This window comes from Homo sapiens, chromosome 10, assembly GCF_000001405.40.
Source record: "Homo sapiens chromosome 10, GRCh38.p14 Primary Assembly".
NCBI lineage: Eukaryota > Metazoa > Chordata > Mammalia > Primates > Hominidae > Homo > Homo sapiens.
In genome coordinates, this window is record NC_000010.11 from 17,968,147 (window position 1) to 17,993,406 (window position 25,260).

General features: G+C 39.0%; 1 protein-coding gene across 4 annotated transcripts in view, besides 2 other annotated features; it reads left to right on the forward strand.

The window, feature by feature from the left end:
- SLC39A12 (solute carrier family 39 member 12) overlaps nucleotides 1-25,260 on the forward strand; it is a 91,368-nt gene that overhangs the window by 16,229 nt on the left and 49,879 nt on the right. For 2 of the 4 annotated variants that reach the window (NM_001145195.2, NM_001282734.2), the window contains 5 exons: nucleotides 9,756-9,928; nucleotides 13,166-13,337; nucleotides 19,333-19,505; nucleotides 23,005-23,157; nucleotides 25,035-25,145. In NM_001145195.2, the coding sequence (NP_001138667.1) occupies nucleotides 9,756-9,928; nucleotides 13,166-13,337; nucleotides 19,333-19,505; nucleotides 23,005-23,157; nucleotides 25,035-25,145 (782 nt within the window). The remainder of the gene's footprint in view (nucleotides 1-9,755; nucleotides 9,929-13,165; nucleotides 13,338-19,332; nucleotides 19,506-23,004; nucleotides 23,158-25,034; nucleotides 25,146-25,260) is intronic. The other 2 variants (NM_001282733.2, NM_152725.4) reach the window with 2 other exon arrangements.
- Nucleotides 13,012-14,211: an enhancer, noted in NCBI's record as "CDK7 strongly-dependent group 2 enhancer chr10:18270087-18271286 (GRCh37/hg19 assembly coordinates)". NCBI's record gives its function as "activates an origin of replication core promoter dependent on BRD2, BRD4, P300/CBP, MED14 and CDK7 cofactors, with strong dependence on CDK7, by STARR-seq in HCT116 cells {active_cell/tissue: HCT116}" and the evidence as "EXISTENCE:reporter gene assay evidence [ECO:0000049][PMID:35650434]".
- Nucleotides 21,977-22,036: an enhancer, noted in NCBI's record as "active region_3111". NCBI's record gives its function as "activates an Ori minimal core promoter by ATAC-STARR-seq in GM12878 lymphoblastoid cells {active_cell/tissue: GM12878}" and the evidence as "EXISTENCE:reporter gene assay evidence [ECO:0000049][PMID:35858748]".

A 25,260-nucleotide genomic window follows, 5' to 3' on the forward strand; every position in this document is an offset into this window, starting at 1 on the left:
TTTAGGGGTTTCAGATATATAATACTATCTCTAAATACATATAGTTTTGACTATTTATTTCCAGTTCTCATGCTTTTATTTACTTTCTCATCTAATTGCGTTGGTTAATAACCTCAATATAACGTTAAATAATAGTGGGGATGATCTGCATCCTTATTATGTTTCTGACTTTGAAAGAGGAGCCCGTAGTATTTTCTCATTAAGTTTAGAGAACAAATGAGAAAAAATATATTTATAGAGTCTTTCATATTAACCCACATTTTTACATCTCCAGTGCTGGTCATTTCTTTAAGTGAGCTTAATCAAAATGGGAACTTTACCCAAGTGGTAAATTTGGTCATATCTTTTCAGCCTAAAGAACTTCATTTTGTATTTCTTATAAGGCAGGTCTGCTAGCAATAAATTCTCTCATTCATTGTTTATCTGAGAATGGCTTTTTTAAACCTTCAATCTGAAGGATTATTTTGCTGGATATAAAATTCTTGATCCTTTTTTCTTTTTCTTTTTTCAAATTTTTGTGGGTACATAGTAGGTGTATGTATTTATGGGGTACATAAAATGTTTTGCTACAGGCATGCAATGTGTAATAATGACATCATAGAGAATGGGGTATCCATCCCTTCAAGCATTTATTGTTTGTGTTACCAACAGTCCAATTATATTCTTAGTTATTTTAATATTAATATTTACAATTAAGTTATTATTGACTATAGTTATCATGTCGTGCTATCAAATAATAGGTCTTATTCTTTCTAATTAATTTTGTTATACCCATTAACTATCCCCCTCCCTCAGTACATTTCCCAACCTCTGGAAACCATCCTTCTATTCTCTATGTCCATGAGTTTGATTGTTTTGATTTTTAGATCCCACAAATAAGTGAGAATATGCAATGTTTGTCTTTCTGTGCTTGGCTTATTTCACTTAACATAGTGTTTTCCAGTTTCATCCATGTTGTTGCAAATGACTTGATCTCATTCTTTTTTATGGCTGAATGGTATTCCATTGTGTATATGTACCACATTTTCTTTATCCATTCATCCATTGATAGACACTTAGGTTGCTTCCAGATCTTAGGTATCATGAACAGTGCTGTGACAAAAATGAGAGTGCAGATATCTCTTCAATATACTAAGTTCGTTCTTTTGGGTATATACCCAGTGGTGGGATTGTTGGTCATATGGTAGCTCAATTTTTAGTTTTTTTGAGAAACCTCCCGATCGTTCTCCATAGGGGTCATACTAACTTACATTCCCACCAACAGTGCACCAGTGTTCCCTTTTCTCCATATCCTTGCCAGTACTTTTTATTGCCTGTCTTTTGGCTATAACCCGTTTTAACAGGGGTGAGGTTATATTTCATTGTAGTTTTGATTTGCATTTCTCTGATGATCAGTGACATTGAGCACCTTTTCATATTCCTGTTTGCCATTTGTATGTCTTATTTTGAGACATGTCTATTCAGATCTTTTGCCCATTTTTGGATCAAATTATTAGATTTTTTCCTCTAGAGTTGTTTGAGCTCCTTGTATATTCTGGTTATTAATTCCTGGTGAGATGAGTAGCTCGCAAATATTTTCTCCCATTCTGTGGGTTGTCACTTCACTTTGTTGTTTCTTTTGCTGTGCAGCTTTGTAACTTGATGTGATCCCACTTGTCCACTTTTAGTTTGATTGCCTACGCCTGTGGAGTATTACTCAGGAAATTTTCGACCAGACCAATGTCCTCAAGATTTTCCCCAACGTTTTCTTGTAGTATTTCATAGTCTGAAATCTTAGATTTAAGTCTTTAATCCATTTTGATTTGATTTGATTTTTGTATATGATGAGAGATGGGTTCTGGTTTCATTCTTCTGCATGGGGATGTTCAGTTTTCCCAGCACCATTTATTGAAGAGACTGTCTTTTCCCCAGTGTATGTTCTTGGGACCTGTGTCTAAAATGAGTTCACTTTAGGTGTGTGTATTTGTTGCTGGGTTCTTTATTGTGTTCCATTGGTCTCTGTGTCTGTTTTTATGCCAGTACTTCCTGTTTTGGTGACTGTAGCTCTGTAATACAGTTTGAAGTCAGGTAACGTGATTCCTCTAGTTTGGTTCTTTTGCTCAGGATAGTTTTGACTGTTCTGGATCTTTTGTGATTCCATATAAATTTTAGGGTAGTTTTTTCTATTTCTGTGAAGAATATCATTGATATTGTCATAGGGATTGCAATGAATCAGTAGATTACTTTGGAAAGTATGGACATTTTAACAATATTTATTTTTCCAATCCATGAATATGGAATGCTTTCCATTTTCTTGGTGTCTTCTTCAGTTTCTTTCATCAGTGTTTTGTCATTTTCATTGTAGAAATCTTTCATTTCTTTGGTTAATTCCTAGGCATTTAATTTTATTTGTGGCTATTGTAAATGGGATTACATTTTTATTTCTTTTTCAGATTGTTCACTGTTGGCATATAGAAATGCTACCGATTTTTGTATGTTGATGTTGTATTCTGCAACTTTATTGGATTTTCTTATCAGTTCTAATAGTTTGTGTGTGTGTGTGTGTGTGTGTGTGTGTGTGTGTGTGTGTGTAGGTGAAACATAAATTGTGTCATCTGTAAACAAGGATAATTTGACTTCTTCCATTCCAATTTGGATGCCCTTTATTTCTATCTCTTGTCTGATTGCTGTAGCTAGGATGTCCAGTACTATGTTTAATAACAGTGGTGACAATGGGCATCCTTGTCATGTTCCAGATCTGAGAGAAAGGGCTTTCAGTTTGTTCTCATTCATTATGATACTAGCTCTGAGTCTAATATATATAGCTTTTATTATGTTGAGATATGTTCCTTCTATACCCCATTTTTTAGGGTTTTTATCATGAAAGGATGTTGAATTTCATCAAATGCTTTTTCAGTATCAATTGAAATGATCATATGATTTTTGTTGTTTATTTGGTTGATGTGATGTATTACATCGACTGATTTGCATATGTTGAACCAACCTTGCATCCTAGCTAGGGCATAAATCCCACTTAGTCATTATGAATGATCTTTTTAATGGATTGTTGAATTCAATTGCTAGTATTTTGTTGAGGATTTTTGCATCACTGTTCATCAGAGATATTGGCCTGCCCCTCCCCTCCCCTCCCCTCCCCTCCCCTCCCCTCCCCTTCCTTTCCTGATGTGTCTTTGGTTTGGGTATTAGGGCAATATTGGCCTCATGGAATGAGTTCGGAAGTACTCCCTCCTCCTCTATTTTTTGGAATAGTTTGAATAGAATTGGTATTAGTGCTTCTTAAATGTTTGGTAGAATTCAGCAGTGAAGCCACTGTGTCCTGGGCTTTTCTTTACAGGGAGGATTTTTATTATGGCTTTAATCTCATCACTCGTTATTGGACTGTTCAGTTTTTGGATTTCTTCCTGGTTTAATCATGGTAGGTTGTATGTGTCTAGGAATTTGTCCATTTCTTCTAGATTTTTCAAATTTATTGGCGTATGGTTACTCATAGTAGCCATTAATGATCTTTTGAATTTCTGCAGTATCAGTTGTAATGTCTCTTTTTTCATTTCTGATTTTATTTATTTGGATCTTTTTTCTTTTTTTCTTAGTCTGCTTAAAGGCTTGTCAATGTTCTTTAACTTTTCACAAAACCAACTTTTTGTTTCATTGATCTTTTGTATTGTTTTCTTCCTTCAAATTCATTTACTTCTGCTCTAATCTTTATTATTTCTTTGCTTCTACTCATTTTAGGTTTGGTTTGCTCTTGCTGCTCTAGTTCTTTAAGATGCATTGTTAGATTGTTAATTTGAAATCTCCTCTTTTTCGATGTAGGCACTTATAGCTATAAACTTTCCTCTTAGCACCACTTTTGTTGTTTCTCATAGGATTTGGTATGTTGTGTTTCCATTATCATTTGTTTCAAGACGTTTTTCTATTTCCTTGTTAATTTATTCATTGATCCATTGGTCATTCAGGAGCTATTGTTTAATTTCCATATATTTGCATAGTTTTCAAAAATTCCTCTTGTTATTGATTTCTAGTTTTATTTCATTGTGGTCAGAGAAGATGCTTGATGTTATTTCAATTTTTTAAAAAATATGTTGAGACTAGTTTTGTGACCTAACGTATGGTCTGTCCTTGAGAATCACCCATGTGCTGAAGAAAAGAATGTTTATTCTGCAGCTGTTGGATGAAATGTTCTGTAAATATATATTAGCTCCATTTGGTTGTATAGTGCAGATGAAGTTTAATGTTACTTTGTTGATTTTCTGTCTGGAAGATCTCTCTAATGCTGACAGTGGGGTGTTGAAGTCTCCAGCTGTTATTGTACTGTGGCTTATGTCTCTCTGTAGCTCTAACAATATTTGCTTTATGTATCTGGGTGCTCCAGTGTTGAGTGCATATATATTTAAAATTATTAAGTCCTCTTGCTGGATTGACACTTTTATCATTATATAGTGACCTTTGTCCCTTCTTACAGTCTTTGTCTTGAAATCTATTGTGTCTGATATAAGGATAGTGACTCCTGCTTTTATTTTTGGTTTCCATTGGCATGGAGTATCTTTTTCTGTCCCTTTATTTTTAGTCTATGTGTGTATTTATAGGTGAAGTGTGTTTCTTATAGGCAATAGATCAATGGTCTTATTTTTTTTTTATCTATTCTGCTAGTCTGTGTCTTTTGATTGGAGAGTTTAGTTCATTTCCATTCAATATTATTATTGATAAGTGAGGACTCGCTCCTGCCATTTTGTTATTTGTTTTCTGGTTGTTTTATGGTCATTTTCTTTCCTTTCTGTCTTCCTTTAGTGAAGGTGATTTTCTCTGGTGTTATGATTTAGTTTCTTGCTTTTATTTTTAGTGTATCCATTGTATGTTTTCTGTTTTGAGGTTATCATGAGATTTGCAAATACTATCTTATAATCCATTATTTTAAACTGACAGAAACTTAGCACTGTTTGTATAAACAAAAACCAAGCAAAAAGAACATTAATAAAAACTTTGTGCCTTAATTGTGTCCCCCAACTTTTAAACTTTTTGTTGTTTCTATTTATATCACATTGTGCTGTCTATGTCTTGAAGAGTTGTTGTAGTTATTGTATTTCATTAGTTTATTATTTAGTCTTCCTACTTAGGATGGGAGTAGTTTACACAACAGTTACAGTGTTATAGAATTCTGTGTTTTTCTGTGTAATTACTAGTGAGTTTTTTACCTTCAGGTGATTATTATTATTTACTAACATCTATTTCTTTCTGATTGAAGTAGTCCCTTTAGCATTTCTTATAGGACTGGTCTAGAATTAATAAAATCCCTCAGCTTTTGCTTGTCTAGGAAAATCTTTATTTCTCCTTCATGTTTGAAGGATATTTTCACAGGATATACTATTCTAGGGTAACAGTTTTCTTCCTTTAGCACTTTAAATATGTTATGCCACTCTCTCGTGGCCTGTAAGTTTTCCACTGAAAAGTCTGCTGTCAGACATGTTGGAGTTCCATTGTATATTTGTTCCTTTTCTCCTCCTGCTTTTAGGATCCTTTCTTTATCTTTGATCTTTGGTAGTTTGCTTATTAAATGCCTTGAGGTAGTCGTCTTTGGGTCAAATCTGCTTGGTGTTCTATAACCTTCTTGTACTTGGATATTGATGGCTTTCTTTAGGGTTGGGAAGTTCTCTGTTATTATCCTTTTGAATAAACTTTCTACCCCTATCTCTCTCCCCATCTCCTCTTTGAGGCCAATAACTCAGATTTGCTAGATTCAGTAGTCGTGCTTTATTTTTTTTTTTAATTCTTTTGTCTCCTCTGTGTATTTTCAAATAGACCCTGTCTTGCAAGCTTACTAATTTTTTCTTCCACTTGATCAGTTCTGCTATTAAGACTCTGATGAATTCTTCAGTATGCCAGTTGCATTTTTTAGCTCCAGAATTTTTTAAATTATTTTTAAATTATTTAATATTTTAAAATATTTTATTTTTAATTATTGGGTTCTTTTTAATAATTTTAATCTTTGTTAAATTTATCTGAGTTCTGAATTCCTTCTCTGTGTTATCTTAAATTTCACTGAGTTTCCTCAAAACAGCCATTTTGAATTCTATATCTGAAAAGTCACATATCTCTGTTTCTCCAGAATTGTTGCCTGGTGCCTTATTTAATTCATTCGGCGAGGTCATTTTTTTCCTGGAATATCTTGATACTTGTAGATATTCGTTTGTGTCTGGGCATTGAAGAGTTAAGTATTTATTGTAGTCATCACTGTCTGGGCTTGTTTGTACTCACTGTTCTTGGGAAGGCTTTCCAGATAGTACAAAGGACTTAGGTGTATGATCTATGCTGTATCTGCTTTAGGATACAGATCTGCTATATCTTCACCCCAAACCCTGTTAACACCGTAGTTCTTGCAGACTTATACAGATATCTGGTCCTGGACAAGATCCTGGAGAATTCTTTGGATTACCAGGCAGAGACTCTTGTTCTCTTCCCTTTCTCCTAAACAAATGGAGTCTCTCACTCTCTGTTCTGAGTCACCTGAAACTGACAGTGTACTGACACAAGCACCACTGTGGCCACCACCACTATGACCACACTGGGTTAGACCTGAAGCCAGCACAGCACTGGGTCTCACCCGAGGCCCACTGTAACCACTCCCCGGCTATGTTTGCTCAAGGCCTTGGGACTCTACAATTAGCAGGTGGTGAAGCCAGCCAGGCTTGTGTTCTACTCTTCAGGGTGACAAGTTACCCCAGTTCCCAGGCAGGTCCAGAGGTGCCATACAGGAGCCAGGAACTAGAGTCAAAACCTTAGAAGTCTACCTGGTGTTCTACCGTATTGCAGCTGAATTGGCACTCGAATCACAAGACGTAGTCCTTCTCACTCTTCCCTTCCCTTTACAAAGGCAGAGGAGCCTTACTCTGTGGCCAGCACCACCACAGGTCCATGGGGAGAGCTGCCACACTACTGCCAATGTTCCCTTAAGGCCCAAGGGCTCTTGAATCAACTTCTGGTGAATGCTGCCTACCCTAGGACTCACCCTTCAGGTCAGTGGGCTCCCCTAGGCCCAGGACAGGTCCAGAAATCCCATCCAAGGGCCAAGTCCTGGAATCTCAGGCCCCCCACCCCAAGAGTCTGCTTGGTGCTCTAACACACTGTGGCTAAGGTGATACCTGAAGCCAGCAAATCTCAGAGCCTCACCCAAGGACCTTGACATAGTACTTGGGTATCACTGCTGGTTGTTTAGGGTCCAAGAGCTCTTCAGTTAGCAGGTGACAAGTCCTGCCCGGACTGGGTCCTTCCCTTCAAGGCAGCAGGTTCCTTTCTGGCCCAGGGCATGTCTAGAAATGTTGTCTGAGAGCTAGGACCTGGAAACAGGACCTTGCAACTCTAACCACTGCCCCATCCTGCTGTGGCTGAGCTGGTATCCAAGATGCAATGCAGAGTCCTCCCCACTCTTTCCTCTCCATTCCTTAAGTGGAAGTAAGGGGTATCTTTTGGGTAATGAGCTGTGCAGCCTGGGGTTAGGGAAGGGGTAATACCAGCATTGTTCTGGCTGGTGTCTCAGTAGGTCATGTGCCCCACTGTCGAAGTCCAGTGTCTCTGGGTCCAGTACAGCACTAGGACTCATGTAAAAGTCGCCGTCCTTGTGGCCTAGACTGCCTTTCAAGTTTATTAGCACCCCAGAGCACTTTAGCCTGAGGTGGCAAGGCTTGTGGGGGAAGTCAGGTTCTAACTGCTAGGATCAGGGGTTCCCCTCTGGCTAGGGCTGGTTTAAATGCTTCCTCCATGGGCAGATGTCAGCTGAGTTTGGTCCTGTTTTCCTTTCTGCTTTAACAGGACAGCATTGAGTTCAATGCCTCAAAATTGCCATGCCCCCCTACTGTCAGCACCCAGAGATGCTCTCTGCACCACACTGCTGCTACTGGGGAGGTGGGAGAGGGGTGACATCAGAGATTCAAGACTGTTTTTTCTGCCTCTTCAGTGCCTATTTCAGTAATATGAAGTTAAAACCAGGTATAACGAGGGCTCACCTGAATTTTAGTTTGTATGAAGGTGCTTTTCTTGTGTAGATAGTTGTTAAATTGGTGTCCTTGTGGGGAGATGATTGGTGGAGGCTTCTATTCTGCCATCTTACTCTGCCTCCTCCAGTTTTTTTCTGTAGCTCTTTGAATATATCATTTCACTACCCTTCTGTCCCCCATTATTTAGATAAGAAATCAGCCATTAATTGTAGTGATGCTCCCAGGTAGGTGATGAGTCATTTTCTTTTGCTGCTTTCAAGATTTTATCTTCTGTTGTAGTTGTTGTTTTTTGTTTTTGTTGGTACAGATTCTCACTCTGTTGCCCAGGTTGGAAGTGCAGTGGCGCCATCTCAGCTCACTGCAACCTCCACCCTCTGGATTCAAGCGATTCTCCCATCTCAGCTTCCTGAGTAGCTTGGATTACAGGTGCCTGCCACCACGCCTGGCTAATTTTTATATATATATTTTTTTGTAGAGAAGTGGTTTCACCATGTTGGCCAGGCTGGTCTTGAACTCCTGACCTCAGGTGATCCACCCGCCTTGGCCTCCCAAAGAGCTGGAATCACAGGTGTGAGCCACCACGCTGGTCCTCAAGATTTTATCTTTGACTTTCAGCAGTTTGACTGTAATGTGTCTGGGTGTGAATCTTTTTGTATTTATCTTACTTGATGTTTGATATGCTTCTTGAACACGTATGTTCAGGCTTTTACATCAGATTTTGAAAGTTTTGGCCATTATTTCCTCTAGTATTTTTTCTAATCCTTTCTCTTTCTCCTTTCTCTGACTGCTAATATATATACATTGGTATACTTGCTCTTGTTACAAGTCTGTGAACACTTGTTCTTTTTCTTTTTTCTTTCTGTTCTTTAGAATGAATTATTTCTGTTAATCTATACTCATGTTCAGTGATTTTTTTCTTCTGCCCTCTCAAATATGCTGTTGAGTTCCTGTAGTGAACTTTTTGTTTCACTTATTGTCTCGATATTCTTAAACTCCAGAATTTTCATTTGGACATTTATATAATTTAGATTTCCTTATTAAAAATTGCTATTGATTTTTTATTGTCAAACTTTCCTTTAATTCTTTAAATATAATTTCTTTTAGTTCCTTAAACATAATATTTCCTTTAAAGTCTGTATTTGCTGAATCCAACATCTGGAAATACTGAGATGTATTTATTGACTGCTTTTTTTTTTTCTACCACTGTTGATAACACTTAGGAAAATTCTGTTTTAATCATAAGTAAGAAGATGTATAAATCCATATAAATTTACTGTTATGTTTATTTCTTCTTTGTACACATTATTTTTTAAAAGCCTAGAGCTATACTGAGGGAAACTAATCTGTGATCTTTAAATTGACTGCCATACCATAGTTGCATTAGAAAACAAGATCTAGTTTGTTTCTAGAATCTTATCTCCCTTTCACGGCTTTTCTTTCTTTTGCATATACACTTAAAAGGAAAACAATTTGATTGACTTAACTAAAGTAATAATTAATCTATGATGGATGTATAATGCCTCCAGGGAATAATTTCCTAAGGATTAGGCCAGTTTCATCTTTAATTTACATTTTTATAGAAAAAGAAAATCCTTGACGCAATGGAAGGCATTTTCGTGGGTGGAAATGTCCATTCTGTCATCTCTAGGGCTTAAAAAATGATAAGAATTCTTTGTAAGGGAATATCTATGCTGTAGCTATGTGAAATTGTGACTATTCGGAACTTATCTATTCTATGTGACACCAGATTTTATATGAAATTTCTAGAACTAGACCAACTCCTCAACACTCTCTGGACCAGAAGTACTTGTATCAAAAATGAGAAAATCCATCAATTTCAAAGGAAACAAAACAACATAATAACCCATGATCAGGACTATTCTAATTTCTCTTCATCCATGGAAAAAGAGTCTGAGGATGGTCCAGTTTCCTGGGATCAGGTATTGCCATTGTTTCTCTTATTCAAGCATTTGCTACTGTCAAAGGAAGCCCAGCTGTGAAAGTTTTATTAGAGTTGTAGAAAACTTAAAGAGTATTGTGTATTATCTTGAAAAGTAAAAATATTCTAGTTCCACCACGTAGTTACGGTTTTCTTTTTCTACAAGTGTATCTCTGTAGACATAAAAACAAAGCCAAGGTATATAGGGGAATGAAATATATTGCTTTTTCCTCCCTTGGGTTCAGATTGAGTGAATTAATAATTCAGAAAACATATTGAGCATTTTATGCACACCGCTAATCATCCTGGGCATGAGAGATACAATGTTGAACAAAAATAGGCACATATTTTTGCTATTATGTATCTTAAAAGTTATTTTCTGTTACCTCTGCCATGTATAATAGGAATCTGTTGAAGTTGACTCTTTCAGACTCATGTTTATTGTATTCAACTGCAGGTGACAAGAGTTGATCTCCATATTAATCCATGTTTGTGAAGTTTCCTTAATTAGGGCCAACTCTCAGGAAGAGAACAAATACGGTCTCTTCATGGAGACCTTATTTGAATAAAGAATAATTCATTTCTTAACATTTAGGGGTTACTTAAGGCATGCATCTTCTAAGAATGCCAATAATCATTTTCTGTGCAAAACACACACAACAACCTCTTCTCCAATAATTCTTCTCTGTTCCAACGTGTGACTTTCTTTGTGATTCTTGATGGTATCCTAACGTGGGACACCAGATTTGAGGACTCTGCCTATATTATTAGGTTGATCATTTTCCAAGGGTTGTGCCTGGGCCTTTCCAAGGGCTGTGGGCAGCAGCAGTACCACCTGGGAACTTGTTGGAAATGTACATCCTCAGACCCCAACCCAGAATCTACTGAATCATAAACCCCAAGTGTAGAGCCCAGAACTCTGTCTTTTAAGAAGCCCTGCAAGTAATTCTCAAAACTAAAGATTAGAAACCACTGCTTTTGAATATGTTTGTAAAGCTTCTGTAGAAATCTGATAACATCAACACAAGTACAAACATATTTCAAAATTACATAGGAAGGAATAAAGATGTTTTAAAGATTGTTGGCTGCATAACCTAAATTTTCATTTTCTTTATAAAAAATATGTTGTGTTCAAAATTTTATAGAATATAATGAGTCCCCAGTAAGGACATTTATGTTAGTGATTTCAGAAGAAATTTACTTAATGACCTAAATGGCACAAGAGCAGCAAGCGAAGACCAAGGGCGCAGAAGTTTGTAATAGAATAACCTTACTCTCTGAGAAGGTATTGTAAAACTAGAAACTATTCGACTTCTTGACAACAAACTGGAGAAAGATGCATGGTATTCTCTTCTTGTTTCTCTCTCCATTCCTTTATTTACCAGTCAGGCATTTTCTGATAGGAATTGTATTATGAAACTATCATCAAAAGTTTGTTGCCAGTGTCTCTTTATTTTTGTCAATATTGTTGATGATGAAATAATTACATTCTGTCAATAACAAGTGGTGCAAAAGAGAATCTTGTCTTTGGCATACATTATTTTGATAAAGGGAAAAAAAAACACAAGTTTAGCTTTCTGTGGATGCTTTCTGTAGCAGAAAATTTCTGGAGTTCTTGCCCAATCCCTTACTGAGAAATGCCTTCCTCACCCACAGGAGTGAGGTTGGCACCCATGTTTGAACAGCTTTATTCCATCTCCTACTACTTGGGCAAAACTGATTGAACTAAATGGATGCCTGACCCAAGAGGCACCATCTGTGGCTTTGCTGAATCAATCAGATCTCTCTCAGGACTTATAGATGCAGCATTCTTGGGTTCTTGGAGTGAAAAGTCACTTTAGAGTTGGGGCTTATATGGCTGTGAGTTTACGAGAGAAGGCCAAACTGTGAAAGGAAGTAGATATATGCAGAGGGAAAAAGAAAAAAGAAAATACTTGGCTCAGGGAGGGAGAGGAGGGCACGGGTGGGAAGAAGGTTGTGGGCAAAGATCATGCATCTTTGATTTCCCAGCTTCAAGTTCTCATTCCTTATGAAGTGTGGGCATTCATTCAATCCCTGGGTTCTTTGAGACCATCTGTGCCTTTCTAATACAATTTCCTCTTGGTTTTCTGATTTCAGTTGGTTCTGTTCCATGCACCCAAATATTTCCTGATCAAGATAAAACTTTGTATCCATGAAATCATCTCTAAAGATTTTTATGTGGGGGAAAAAGACAAACAGCAACTATGTCATCATTATTTACAGATTAACAAAGTGCCTTCATTAAAAAAAATCTCTATACAGTGTGGCAAACCAAATCAGCTTTGCAAACCACTGATTTTTAAAACAATACCTTACTGATCGCAACTAAAGATCACAAAGACATTGCATTGGGGTCTTATTTCAATAGAAAACATCCATTTGTGAGAGTGAAACTACCCGTCATTCTCACTCACCTACTAAAACTTTTAAATTGTAATTTTTGAAGTACACAACGTCAACCTTTATTCTGAGATGGACAAATGTCTTTTGGCCCTTTTTAGAGACTGTGGCATTTGTTCTTTCCTTATTCTTCTCTCTCATAAATATGCCTATACAGTATGAAAACAAATTGTAAAGATTTAGGTAAAAATCAGTAAAGTCAGTAAGAAATAATGATGTTTTCAACTGTGTGTGTGTCTCTGTGGAGAAGGGTTATGCCAATTGAGAGAGGTAGCTACATCATTTGGTATTTACACAGCAGCTAGTTGACATAGCTTTACTTTCAAAAATTTTACCTTTACTTTTAGGACTTTTAAAAGTACACGTTGCCTACACAGGCTGACTAAATCAAACAGTATGAAAGACAGTGACCTCATTACCATAGGACTTCTGTTTATTGTATGAAGTCTTTTTTAACACAAAGCTATCCTCATTGAAAAAGAACAAAAACATCAGGACATCCTAAGGCTGCTGGTTAGAACACCACTCAACACATTGTAAAACACAATGTGTCTTTCTAGGAAAGAAAAACTGTGCAAAACTCATACTAAATAAGGCTCAGAATGAAAATGAGGTATTGCAGGCTTTGGTCAGAGATTTAAGACATCCTTAGGAATTACGTACAGCTGAAAGTTTGCAGGGAAACACGTGTCGTACCGGCTTCATGTGTGTGTTCTCGCTATTCCATCTAGAATTCACTCCTCAAGGATGACAACTGGTGGAGAATCTAGTTTAAATATGCTGAGATTAGTAACAATGTTATGTTTTCCTCACACAGACCTGCTTCTCTGCTAGGCAGCTGGTGGAGATATTTCTACAGAAGGGCCTCTCACTCATTTCTAAGGAGGACTTTAAGCAAATGAGTCCAGGGATCATCCAGCAGCTCCTCAGCTGCTCCTGCCACTTACCCAAGGACCAACAAGCAAAGCTGCCACCTACCACTCTGGAGAGTAAGTTCTGGATCTTCCTTCAGAAAGCTGATGTGCACAATGTATGCAATAATAATAGTAAATGCAGGATACTTACTATATACCAGGCTCTGTTGTAAACATTTTACATTTATCAGCTCATTTAATCCTCCTAACAATGCTACAAGGTAGATATTATTATTCCCATTTTACAGATGAGGAAACTGAGGCACAGAGAGATTAAGTGACTTTCCCAAGGACACACAGCTGGGAAGTGATGGAGTTGCCATTCAAACCCAGGCAAGCTGGCCCTGGAGTCCTTGTTTCTAACCACGATACATACTACTCTTCAATGAATATTTTATATTTGTATATGGTTTATATGAATTAATTATGTCTTCTATAGTTGACTCAATCATGGATCAACATAAAAGGCCATAGCTGAGAGGTGACATGGTAAAAGAGAAGGCAATAGCATTGGAATGTGGAATGCAGAGCTGAGTCATGCTTTTTTTCCTCAGAGACTTTGTGATCTTTAGCAATTTCTCCCCAAGACTGTTTCTTTTCCAGCCCAGTGGAAAGCAGTGATATCCTATAGGGCTGCCTTTCTCACATCATGGCATGTATAAAAAATGAAAACACATTACAGTAAACCAAAGCTCACTGGGCTGCTGTGGGATGAAGGTGACCCATGCTGGGAGCTACCAGCCTCCCAGATGTAGCTGTCAGCCCCAGGAAGGGAAGGGATCAATATTTACAGTTACCTGTATCCCACTGAGTCATTGCAATAGATGAGATCTCTCCAAGGGCTTCACTGTGAAGCCCTTGAACTGTAAGGTTCAAATGGGATAATGTGGACAAAAATATCTTCAGTAAATTTAAAGCTCTGTATATTTAAAAGACAAAACAAATGGTTGAGAACATCCATGTTATCTAGTAAAAAATATGACAATTAGCTTACCATTGATCTGAGAGCCTTAGATGTATTATTTTCTCAGAGCTGTGTTTCTTTCTCTTTGAGAGAGCCTGCAATAGCAATCATAGCTGAGTTGTTCAGCCACCCACCTCTAACTCACAGTGGATTCTGTAACATCAAGTGGCCTAATTGAAAATGTTATGTGAACAAAAACACGCCAGGCCTAAATATCTAAGATTCTACATTCACTAAGAGAAAAAGAGCTTCATTAATAGTGAGCAGCCAAATAACTCAGCACTTGGTGGTCATTCAGTGAGGCTCAGAAAATGGATGAAGACAGCACTGTGGCACCTAGGAGCATCCCTGGGCAGTTTACATTCCTACCACCTGGCTTGGGGCCGGAATGTACAGGCCGCTCGGAAAAGGGTTTTGAAATTAAGGCCTCGGAAAAAAATTGTGTCTCCTCTCGAATGAACTTCTAGACACTTCTGGGGAATAGTCTTCCTGGGAAACCTCCCAACATGTCACACTCACTAAAGAATCTAGAAAGGGGCCAGGCGCGGTGGCTCACGTCTGTAATCCCAGCACTTCGGGAGGCCGAGGCGGGTGGATCACGAGGTCAGGAGATCAAGACCATCCTGGCTAACGCAGTGAAACCCCGTCTCTACTAAAAATTAAAAATTAAAAAAAAAAATAGCCGGGCATGCTGGTGGGCGGCTGTAGTCCCAGCTACTTGGGAGACGGAGCTTGCAGTGAGCCGAGGTCAGCACCACTGCACTCCAGCCTGGGCGACAAAGCGAGACTCCATCTCAAAAAAAAAAAAAAAAAAAAAAAAAAAAAGACTCTAGAAAGGCCAGGTGCAGTGTCTCACACCTGTAGTCCTAGTACTTTGGGAGGGCAAGGCAGGAGGATTACTTGAGCCCGAGAGTTTGAGACTAGCCTGAGCAACATAGGGAGACCCCATCTCTACAAAAACGAAAATTAGCCAGGCATGGTGGCACGTACCTGTGGTCTCAGATACTTGGGGGGCTGAGGTGGGAGGATCATTGGAGCCCAGCAGTTCAAGGCTGTAGTGAGCTATGACAATGCCATTGCACTCCAGTTGGGTGACAGAGAGAGACCCTGTCTTAAAAACAAGAACCTAGGCCGGGCACAGTGGCTTATGCCTGTAATCCCAGCACTTTGGGAGGCCAAGGTGGGCAGCTCACGAGGTCAGGAGTTCGAGACCAGCCTGGCCAACATGGTAAAACCCCGTCTCTACTAAAAATACAAAAATTAGCTGAGTATGCTGGCGGGTGCCTATAATCCCAGCTACTCGGGAGGCTGAGGCAGGAGAATCATTTGAACCCGGGAGGTGGAGGTTGCAGTGAGCCAAGATTGCACCATTGCACTCCAGCCTGGGCGACAGGGAGAGACTCCATCTCAAAAAACAAAACAAAACAAAACCTAGAAAAACATCACTGTCCTCAATCGAAAATGTTGCATTATGTGAATAGGGAAAAGCTTTAATTTCAAAAGTTCTTTGGAAATTATAGAAATATATGATATTATATTGAAGGGAGGAAGACTCGGGGAGACATTATTAAGAAAATACCATTCAGTATGCTGAAACTCAACCGCTAAGCACCATCTTCGATTAAGTTTCCAGGAAAGAGTATTATGGCCATGTACAAATTAAGTTTCAGACCTATTCAGAGTAGCTGCTCAGAAGTGGCTAAGAATTTAGTGGCTAGGTCAAGCTCTGTTGTAATAATGGGAAACTTTAGAACCTGTCTGCAAGTTGCCTGATGCCAATCAAGACTTCATGGCACTTATGCAGGGACCTGCAGTAAATTAGCAGAGTCCTGTGACCACAGGTCAGATATTTTATGGTTTTGAGGCTGTCGTTCCTACATGAAAGCAAGTGAAATATGACTCATAGAGAATCTAAAAAGATTTGCTAACCTCTGAAGTTATGAAACATTCATTGTCTGCATGGGTAGAAGCCCACAGAGTTGGGGTGTAGCAAAATAACTAAAGAAGTTTCAACTTTGCCTTTTGCCTGGGAAATGTTGTACCCTGATTTGTCATTGTGCTTTCTTGGCCTTTTGTGGTCTTTTGCAGTTACCACTTCTAAAATGGGACAGCTGTAAATTTTATTAAACATCCAGGTGCTCATGTTACTATTCAAATATCTTTAATTTATGTAATAAATGAAAAGAATGGCATTCCCATATAGAGTCTGTGTGGGAAAGAATGGGATATGAAACTTAGTTGAAGATTTTCAGGGAAGTTTCTATAACATGAGTATTTTTGTTACATTAGAATGATAAAAGACACGACGATGTAGGTGTCTGAACAATACACATGAAATACAGTTCGCCATCTTAACCATTTGTATTTGCACAATTCAGTATATTCACATTGTTGTGCAATAGATAATAGAACTTTTTCATCTTGCAAAACTAAAACTCTATACCCATAGAAGAACAACTCTTCATTTCACCTTGCTTGTAAACCATTTTATAGGGATTCCATAGCAATGAAAATGTGGTAGTGGGGGTACGGGAACAGATGCTTAAAAGTTTTTTGCCTCTTCTGAGTATACTGCCAACTCTATTTTAATATTAAACCCCTGGGTAATTTAGAACTTACGTTTCAGTAAAGTCCTCTTAATATCACAAGCCTATTTTTCTGTTACCAGTTATATTATTAAAATGATCTAGTCTGGGCATGGTGGCTCATGCCTGTAATTTCAGCTCTTTGGGAGGCCAAGGTGGTGGATCATTTGAGGTCAGGAGTTCGAGACCAGCCTGGCCAACATGATGGAACCCCGTCTCTACTAAAAATACAAAAATTAGCCAGACATGGTGGTGGGCACCTGTAGTCCCAGCTACGCAGGAGGCTGAAGCAGGAGAATCACTTGAGCCCGGGAGGTGGAGGTTGCAGCAAGCTGAGATTGTGCCACAGCACTCCAGCCTGGGTGAAAGAGCAAGACTGTCTCAAAAATAAAAATAAAATAAAATGATCTAATTTAAAGAATGAACCTTTTAGAAAAATGCAAGTATGATGAGAATGAAATATTTTCTGTTTTAAGAAACTTTAAGAGGATAGTTTTTTTTTTTCAAAAAAATTGCAATGAGCTTTAGGTATTTTGACACCAGGATTGTTTGATTTAACTTATTGTATATCCATAGTCACTGAAGAAAGTGGTAGTTTAATTTCATAATTAGCTTTCCTCATTGTTTACTAACTAGTTTGCCATCACTTGTTAGTAATTTCTAAATAGGTAGAGAAATAAGCATTTGCTTTGAGTATCTACAAGCAGATGAAAATGATGCCATAGATAACTCCTTATCTCTATGTTGTCTGTACTTGATTCTGAAAGTCATTTCCTCCCTCTCTTTTAATCTTATCTCTTCCCTTTTCTCCTTTATTTCTTCTCCCTTCATATATATATATTTTTTCTTTCAAATAAACTTACAAATTATACTTTATAAATATTTTTTTAAAAGGAAGCCTAGAAACATGAAATTCTAAGGATTATAAAAGTCATTGCAATCATCCAAAATGTAGATTGTTCAGATTTTTATTATCGACTGTTACACATTCATTGATCAGTTTTCACCAATAACAACACTCATTTTAGTCACTGAAAATAATATCACCCTGGACATTGCAAATAATTCAGACAGCTTTTGGAAGGAAGTTCTTCCAAAACGTGTACTCATTTTGTACACAAACATAGGTCTACAATACTGCCAAACCTTATGCTTCCTATGTAACAGCTAGTCTTTTCGCCTTTGAGAAGCTTAAGATATGATTAAAGGGAAATTATTGCTAGTGTCTGTCTGTGGATGTTGTAGTTTCAAGTGAGAGAAATTTATTTCTTTGAGGGTTGGAGGTGAGCTCAGTCCTTGCTTGCTGCAATAATTTTTAGTAAGGGGTAGTCAGAGTAACTTCAAAACAACACGGTTATTTGAAGAAAGTCTTGTCTTAGTCCTTGCTGTAACAAAATACCACAAACGGATGGCTTATGTAAACAACAGACATCTATTTCTCACAGTTCTGGAGGTTGGGAAGTCCAAGATCAAGGCATCAGCAGATTCGGCATCTGGTGAGGGTCTCGTTCCTGGTTCATGGACTGGTGAAGGGAAGAACTCCAGTCCCTTTAGCCCCTGTAAAGACCCTAATCCCATTCAACAGGGGTGAAGAGTATATGTTCTAATCACCTCCCAAAGGCCTCACTTCCTAATACCACCCACCACCTTGGTGGTTAGGTTTCAACATGTGAATTTTGCGGAGACACAAACATTTAGACCATAGCAAATCTGTTCATTCTTTTTGTTAAAAATTTAAAAACTTTTTGCCGCATATAACACTTATAAGACTGGGTGCTGTGGCTTATGCCTGTAATCCCATCACTTTGGGAGGTGAAGCAGGAGGATTGCTTGAGCCCAGGAGCTTGAGACTAGCCCAGGTAATACAGTGAGACCCTATCTCTACTAAAAATAAAAGCTTAGCCAGGCCTGATGGCACCTGCCCGTAGTCCCAGCTGCTCGAGGGTCTGATGTGGGAAGATCACTTGAGCCTGGGAGTTCAGGATTATAGTGAGCTATAATCACACCACTCCACCCCAGCTTGAGCAGCAGAGTGAGAACCTGTCTCAAAAACAACAAAAACAACAAAACGCTTATTTAAAAATTCCAAGTTGGGGGCAGTGGGCTTACAACTGTAATCCCAGCCATTTGGGAGGCTGAGACGAGTGGATTGCTTGAGTCCAGGAGTTCGAGACCAGCCTGGGGAACATGACGAAACCCCATCTCTACAAACAAAAAATACCAGAAAATGAGTCAGGCATGATGGTGTGCACCTGTTGTCCCAGGTACTTGGGAGGCTGAGGTGGGAGGATCACTTGAGCCTAGGAGGTGGAGGCTACAGAGAGCTATGATAGTGCCACTACATTCCAGGCTGGGTGACAGACAGAGAGCCTGTCTCAAAATAAAAACAAAACACTTATTTAAAAAATCCATATCCCTACTGGCTGTTACTGTAAGACCAATTCTTCTGGCATTTTCGCCAGCTGAGGCCGGAATGGAGGGCACTGGGCACTGACTGTGTTTACGATCTCCTTTGACTTAGAATACGGCTACAGCACGGTGGCTGTCACCCTTCTCACACTGGGCTCCATGCTGGGGACAGCGCTGGTCCTTTTCCATAGCTGTGAGGAGAACTACAGGCTTATCTTACAGCTGTTTGTGGGCTTGGCCGTCGGGACACTGTCTGGGGACGCTCTGCTCCACCTTATCCCTCAGGTAATCTGGTCTTTTCCATTTCAGATAAAGTTCACTTCATTGCTCTTCACTTTTAACCACTGGAGGTATTTATGCAAAATTTTACTGAGACTTCAAAGAGAGAGTATCGTGGCTGGTGTTTTCCTTAAAAAGAAATATTATTTCCCCAAGGCCTCTCTGCACTTGTAGAAGAGAAGAGATGCCCCAACATTAGGCTCGCCACATAGTAGTAGTATTTTTGAAATAAAACAAAGGAAAGGTGGCAGGGCACGGTGGCTCACACCTGTAATCCCAGTACCATGGAAGGCTGAGGCGGGAAGATCGCTGGAGCCCAGGAGCTCAAGAACAGCCTGGCCGATGTGGTGGAACCCCATCTCTACTAAAAATACAAAAATTAGCTGCACATGTTACATGCACCGGTAGTCCCAGCACTTTGGGAGGCCAAGGCAGGTGGATTACTTGAGATCAGGAGTTCGAGACCAGCCTGGACAGCATGGTGAAACCCCATCTCTACTAAAAATATAAAAATTAGCTGGGCATAGTGCCATGCGTCTGTAATCCTAGCTACTCGGGAGGCTGAGACAGGAGAATCGCTTGAACTCGAGAGGCGAAGGTTGCAGTGAGCAAAGATCGTACCACTGCACTCCAGCATGGGTGACAGAGCGAGACTCTGTCTCAGAAAAAGTTGTCATTCAGTTAGTTCACCCAAGACCTGGTTGTTTAAAAGTCCAGAACCTCCCCGTCTCCCTCTCTCTTGCTTTCTCTCTCTCATTATGTGATGTGCCTGCTTCCCCTTCACTGTCTACTGTGATTGGAAGCTTCCTGAGGCCCATATCAGAAGCAAATGCTGACACCATGCTTCCTGTACACCCTGCAGAACCAGGAGCCCATTAAACCTCTTTTCTTTATAGGTTATCCAGCCTCAGATATTTCTTTATAGCAACACAAAAATGGCCTAATTCACTTGTCCTTCTTTCTGTTCTGCCCAGAAGGCTGCATCTCCTCAGCTACCTTGCAGGTTGGATTTTTGTTTGGGGTCAGCCAATGAGGGGCACAATGGAAAACTCAGAGGAGGAGGAGAGAGAGGCAGTGGCATCTGTGCCCAGCTCCCTCCTGGCTCCGGCGTCCGCTCTAGAAGTGGCTGATTTGCCATGGGCTACGTCTCCAGTGGACAGCTTCCCCACAGCTCCACGGCTCACTGGCCTTCCTCCCTTTTCCCTTTCACCCCTAAGGTTGGCAATGCTTTCCTGCGATTGCCAGTCTCTGGGTGCCTCATTATCCTTTCTTTATACCCTTGACCCTGCCCACCTCTGTAATAGTCTTATCTTTCATGTCTCTTTATTTGAGCCATCACAGTGGAATTCTCCTTCTTGCCTAACAGTGTCTAGATTTCTCTTAAGGGCAGGTGAGCACCAGGAGGCTGCCTCCTGTTGACGTGTGCTGAGGCTCTTTTTCAGAAAGGAAAGGAGTAAAACCTGAGTTGAGGTCATCTACAGATGAGGTGTTCTCTTCCCTCTGAAATCTCTTACCAGGGATAATGATGGTGGACCAATGATCCCCACTCCAGCAAAGCCTGAGCTGGTTAAAATTTTCCACAAGCCTCTGGCAGTTTCCTGCAGGGTCACTCTTGTTGCTTCGAGGCTCAATTGTTATTCAATGTTCTGAAAATCACAAAGGGAGCATTGGAAAAATAAAACCATTATGAGTTTTAATTGCCCTCATAATCTAATATCCTGGAAATATTTCAGGGCTTATGACTGAGTAGAGGCGGCGGCCCAGGCCTTTTTTCTAGGTCACAGCAGCGGTAGCAGAATTGTTTACTGCCCAGGAGTCTGGGAAGCAGAAAAAGGCTCTCAGGTCAGCCTGAGTCTCCCCCAGTGAGGGAGCCCACAGCGAAGGTGGACTTGAGGATGGGTGCAACATGTTACAGAGGAGAACTTCAGAGATTAGCTGGGTTTCCCGAAATTTTGTAGACAGTTTTTTTTTTGCTTAAGGAAAGAGACAAGAGCCGGGTGCAGTGGTTCACGCCTGTAATCCCAGCACTTTGGGAGGGCAAGACAGGCGGATCACCTGAGGTCAGGAGTTTGAGACCAGCCTGGCCAACATGGTGAAACCCCGTCTCTACTAAAAATCAAAAACTAGCCGGGTGTGGTGGTGGGCGCCTGTAACCCCAGCTACTCTGGAGGCTGAGGCAGGAGAATCGCTTGAACCCAGGAGGCAGAGGTTGCAGTGAGCCGAGATCATGCCACTGCCCTGGGCAACAGAACGAGACTCTGTCTCACGAAAAAAAAAAGAGACGAGGACGAAAGTTGTTGGAAAGAGGAAGAAAGATGCAGGACAAGTGTGGTGGTGTGCTAGAAGAATCAGTGATCTGTGGCAAGTTTTCAAACGTCTGCACAGAAGTGAGAAAAATGTTACTCATGTGATTGCCTTTTTTAGTCAGCTAAATTTGTTCAACTGAAAGATCTACATTTTATTTTGAGATCTGGGGTTTTTCTTCTGTTTTGTTTTATGATATTACAAATGTTCCCTATTTTGTGCAATAATGGTCATTAGAAGTATTAGGTGGGTATCCTTAAATGCCCTTAGCAAGAGAAAAAGTTGACTAACATATATTGGTTTTTAGTGATATTTGCATACACAACATATATATGTAGATACATATGTATACTCACATATACACACGTACATATATGTATGTACACATAAATGCCTGTACACATATATGTATGAATGTATATACATATAATCTATACACATATAATTTCTTTTTCCTTTTTAAAATTTAATAGTAACATTCTAAATCTGGAAACCATTTATGAGCTACTTCATAAATTGCCTTCTCTAAGAGAAGGGATATGGTATAGAATGATCTACTGGCTCACAAGAAATCATGAGGTTGACCAATGGAATGACTCAACCAATGGGATGAGTCAGTTACAGAAAAATTCCCAACACATTTCTCATACCCTTTTGTGTCCCAGAGACCTGACAATATTGTCAGTCATACAGTATGCTCCCAAAGGAACAAGTTCTTCACGGTGGATTTCTTACTTATCTGATATTTAATAAAAGTTTACTTTGATTGCTATGGGGCATGAGAATAAACCCCAGATGAAATATAAAATTTATTAATATTTTATGAGGCATGGTTGTACAAACAGATGCAGATTGGACTCCTGAAAAACAATTTGGCCGAAGGACTGAGTTTGTGTGAAAATCTAGGGCACTTGCAGAAATAAAGCTTAGGCTTCATTCTGTTCATTAGCACAAGCTATTCAAAGCTCTCTTTTGTTTTTTATTGTACACAATTTATTTGACCCTGATTGAAGTGTATAGTGGAAGCATTCACATACCCAAAAGCAAACTGGACTTTTAGTGATTGTATTAATAGTTGTCACGGCATTTCCCAGAATGAAAATTAAATATATTCAACACTGGGCCTACTATTTAATAGTTAAGTCATCAAGACTTATCTCCATCTTTCTCTCTGCCTTTTTTTTTTTTTTTTCCCCTGAAGGTTCTTGGTTTACATAAGCAGGAAGCCCCAGAATTTGGGCATTTCCATGAAAGCAAAGGTCATATTTGGAAACTGATGGGATTAATTGGAGGCATCCATGGATTTTTCTTGATAGAAAAATGTTTTATTCTTCTTGTATCACCAAATGACAAGGTATATTTTTAAGTTTTATTTGTCTTGTGCTTTAAAGTCTTATAATACATTCATCTGTTCCTTCACAAGTACTTGTTCAAAAGTAATGAAGTTGCCTGTGTAAGGGATGTCTAATGGAATGCTGATTTCAAGAATACACAGCTCCTTCTAATAGGATATTAATTTTTTAAAATATCTATTCCTGGGCAGTTAATGTACTTATTAAGACCTTTTGTTCAACCTTCATGGTTGGTTTAGGAACTGGGGACTATTTTATGTCTGGGGAATGAAGGGGCCCAACATTCTAGCTACTAATCAGCGTTTTGGATATCTTTCTTAACCTAAACAAATAAGCAAACAAAAACTTTGAAAACTCACAAAATCACATGTAATTTTCTGTCTTAAAGGCATTTAAAATTACAAAAACAAGCGTCTTAGGAATTTTGAAATTTGCAGCAAATCTTTTTTTCAGCTTTAGTAATTTCTTTTATTATACCAGTAGCTGATAAATGTCTACAGATATGGGCCGGGCGCTGTGGCTCATGCCTGTAATTTCAGCACTTTGGGAGGCCGAGGCAGGCGGATCACCTGAGGTCAGGAGTTTGAGGCCAGCCTGGCCAACATAGCGAAACGCTGTCTGTACTGAAAATACAAAAATTAGCCAGGCATGATGCCGCGCGCCTGTAATCCCAGGTACTAGGGAGGCTGAGGCAGGAGAATTGCTTGAACCCAAGAGGTAGAGGTTGCAGTGAGCCGAGATCGCGCCACTACACTCCAGCCTGGGTGACAGAGCGAGACTCCATCTCAAAAAAAAAAAAAAAAAAAAACAAAAGAAAAAATAAATAGCATAGCACTTATTGTTTTTCATTCCTAAATTTGTTCAAAATTCTGTTTTATGAATCAAAAAATAAAATGAATTTATGGATGGATAGAGGGATGATAGATGGATAGCTACATGATAAAATAGATTTAATAAAATAATCATAGGATCAAGGAAGTGGATAGCTCAATATTTACATTACAATACAATTCTTTCAGCTTTCTATATATTTGAAATCTTTTCAGCAATAAATAGAGGTCATGAATTCAAATAGACTACAAGTCAACTTCTGTAAAAGTTTTCTAATAAAGCAGGACTTTTCTTTGGCCTGGGGCCCAAACTAGGATGCTATGGTAATTTGGAAATTAGGAATGCCAATTTCTATTACAGTACTTACCCTAAAAGTTTAGGAACTTTCCTTTCACAAAAGAAGTTCTAATCCCAAGAAGCATTAAAAAAATAACAAATCCCCACTTATACCCAATGGATTAACATTTCTGGGTTGGGAAAACTAAATTAGAAAGCCAAAATACCAGTAATTCAGTAGTTAGAAATCCAGTGTGGTAATGAGTGAAAGAAATTCTGAACATCCAAAAATGTAGAGTTTATTCAGATTGTTTATGGGCTTGTCAGGGAACTTAAAATGAGTTTTAAGAGCATAATTCCAAGATTTATGATATTGCCTAAAATAAAAGGAATACGTATGTTTTAGGAACTGCAAATGCTTTACTTGATGAATACATTTCCAGAGACATTGTTTTAGTAGTCACAGGGTACAATACAGTTTTGATTATTATCATTGCGGTATCTCCATCAGAAAGAATTTAAAATTTAATTTTGTGTAAATATAACTTTTTTTAGTAAATAAAAAGACAGTGTAAAAACTACCACTATTCAAGCCTTCTTCAGTCATCACTAGACATTTTTGAAGTTGCATTCCATTCTTAAAGCATCCCAGTTCTCTTTTGTGGCAACTACCATTTTGGCCAATAGGCAATGGAATGGAACCGTGGCATTGACAAAGACTACACCTGTGTTCTTCTGGCTTCAACACTAATTTTAAACCATCCTCATCCAGCAGGGCCTGTCATTGGTTAATGGGCACGTGGGTCATTCCCACCATCTTGCACTCAACTCTGAATTAAGTGACCAGGCAGGCAGAGGCAAATCTGCTTCAACTATCCAGTTGGTAGGTTCCTGATCTGAAGCATTCTACTGATCTGATTACCTTCTCTCCTTTATTCCTCAATGAACAAATGAAAATCAGTAGGGTAGATAAACAGATTTCATACTCCTGATTTGCC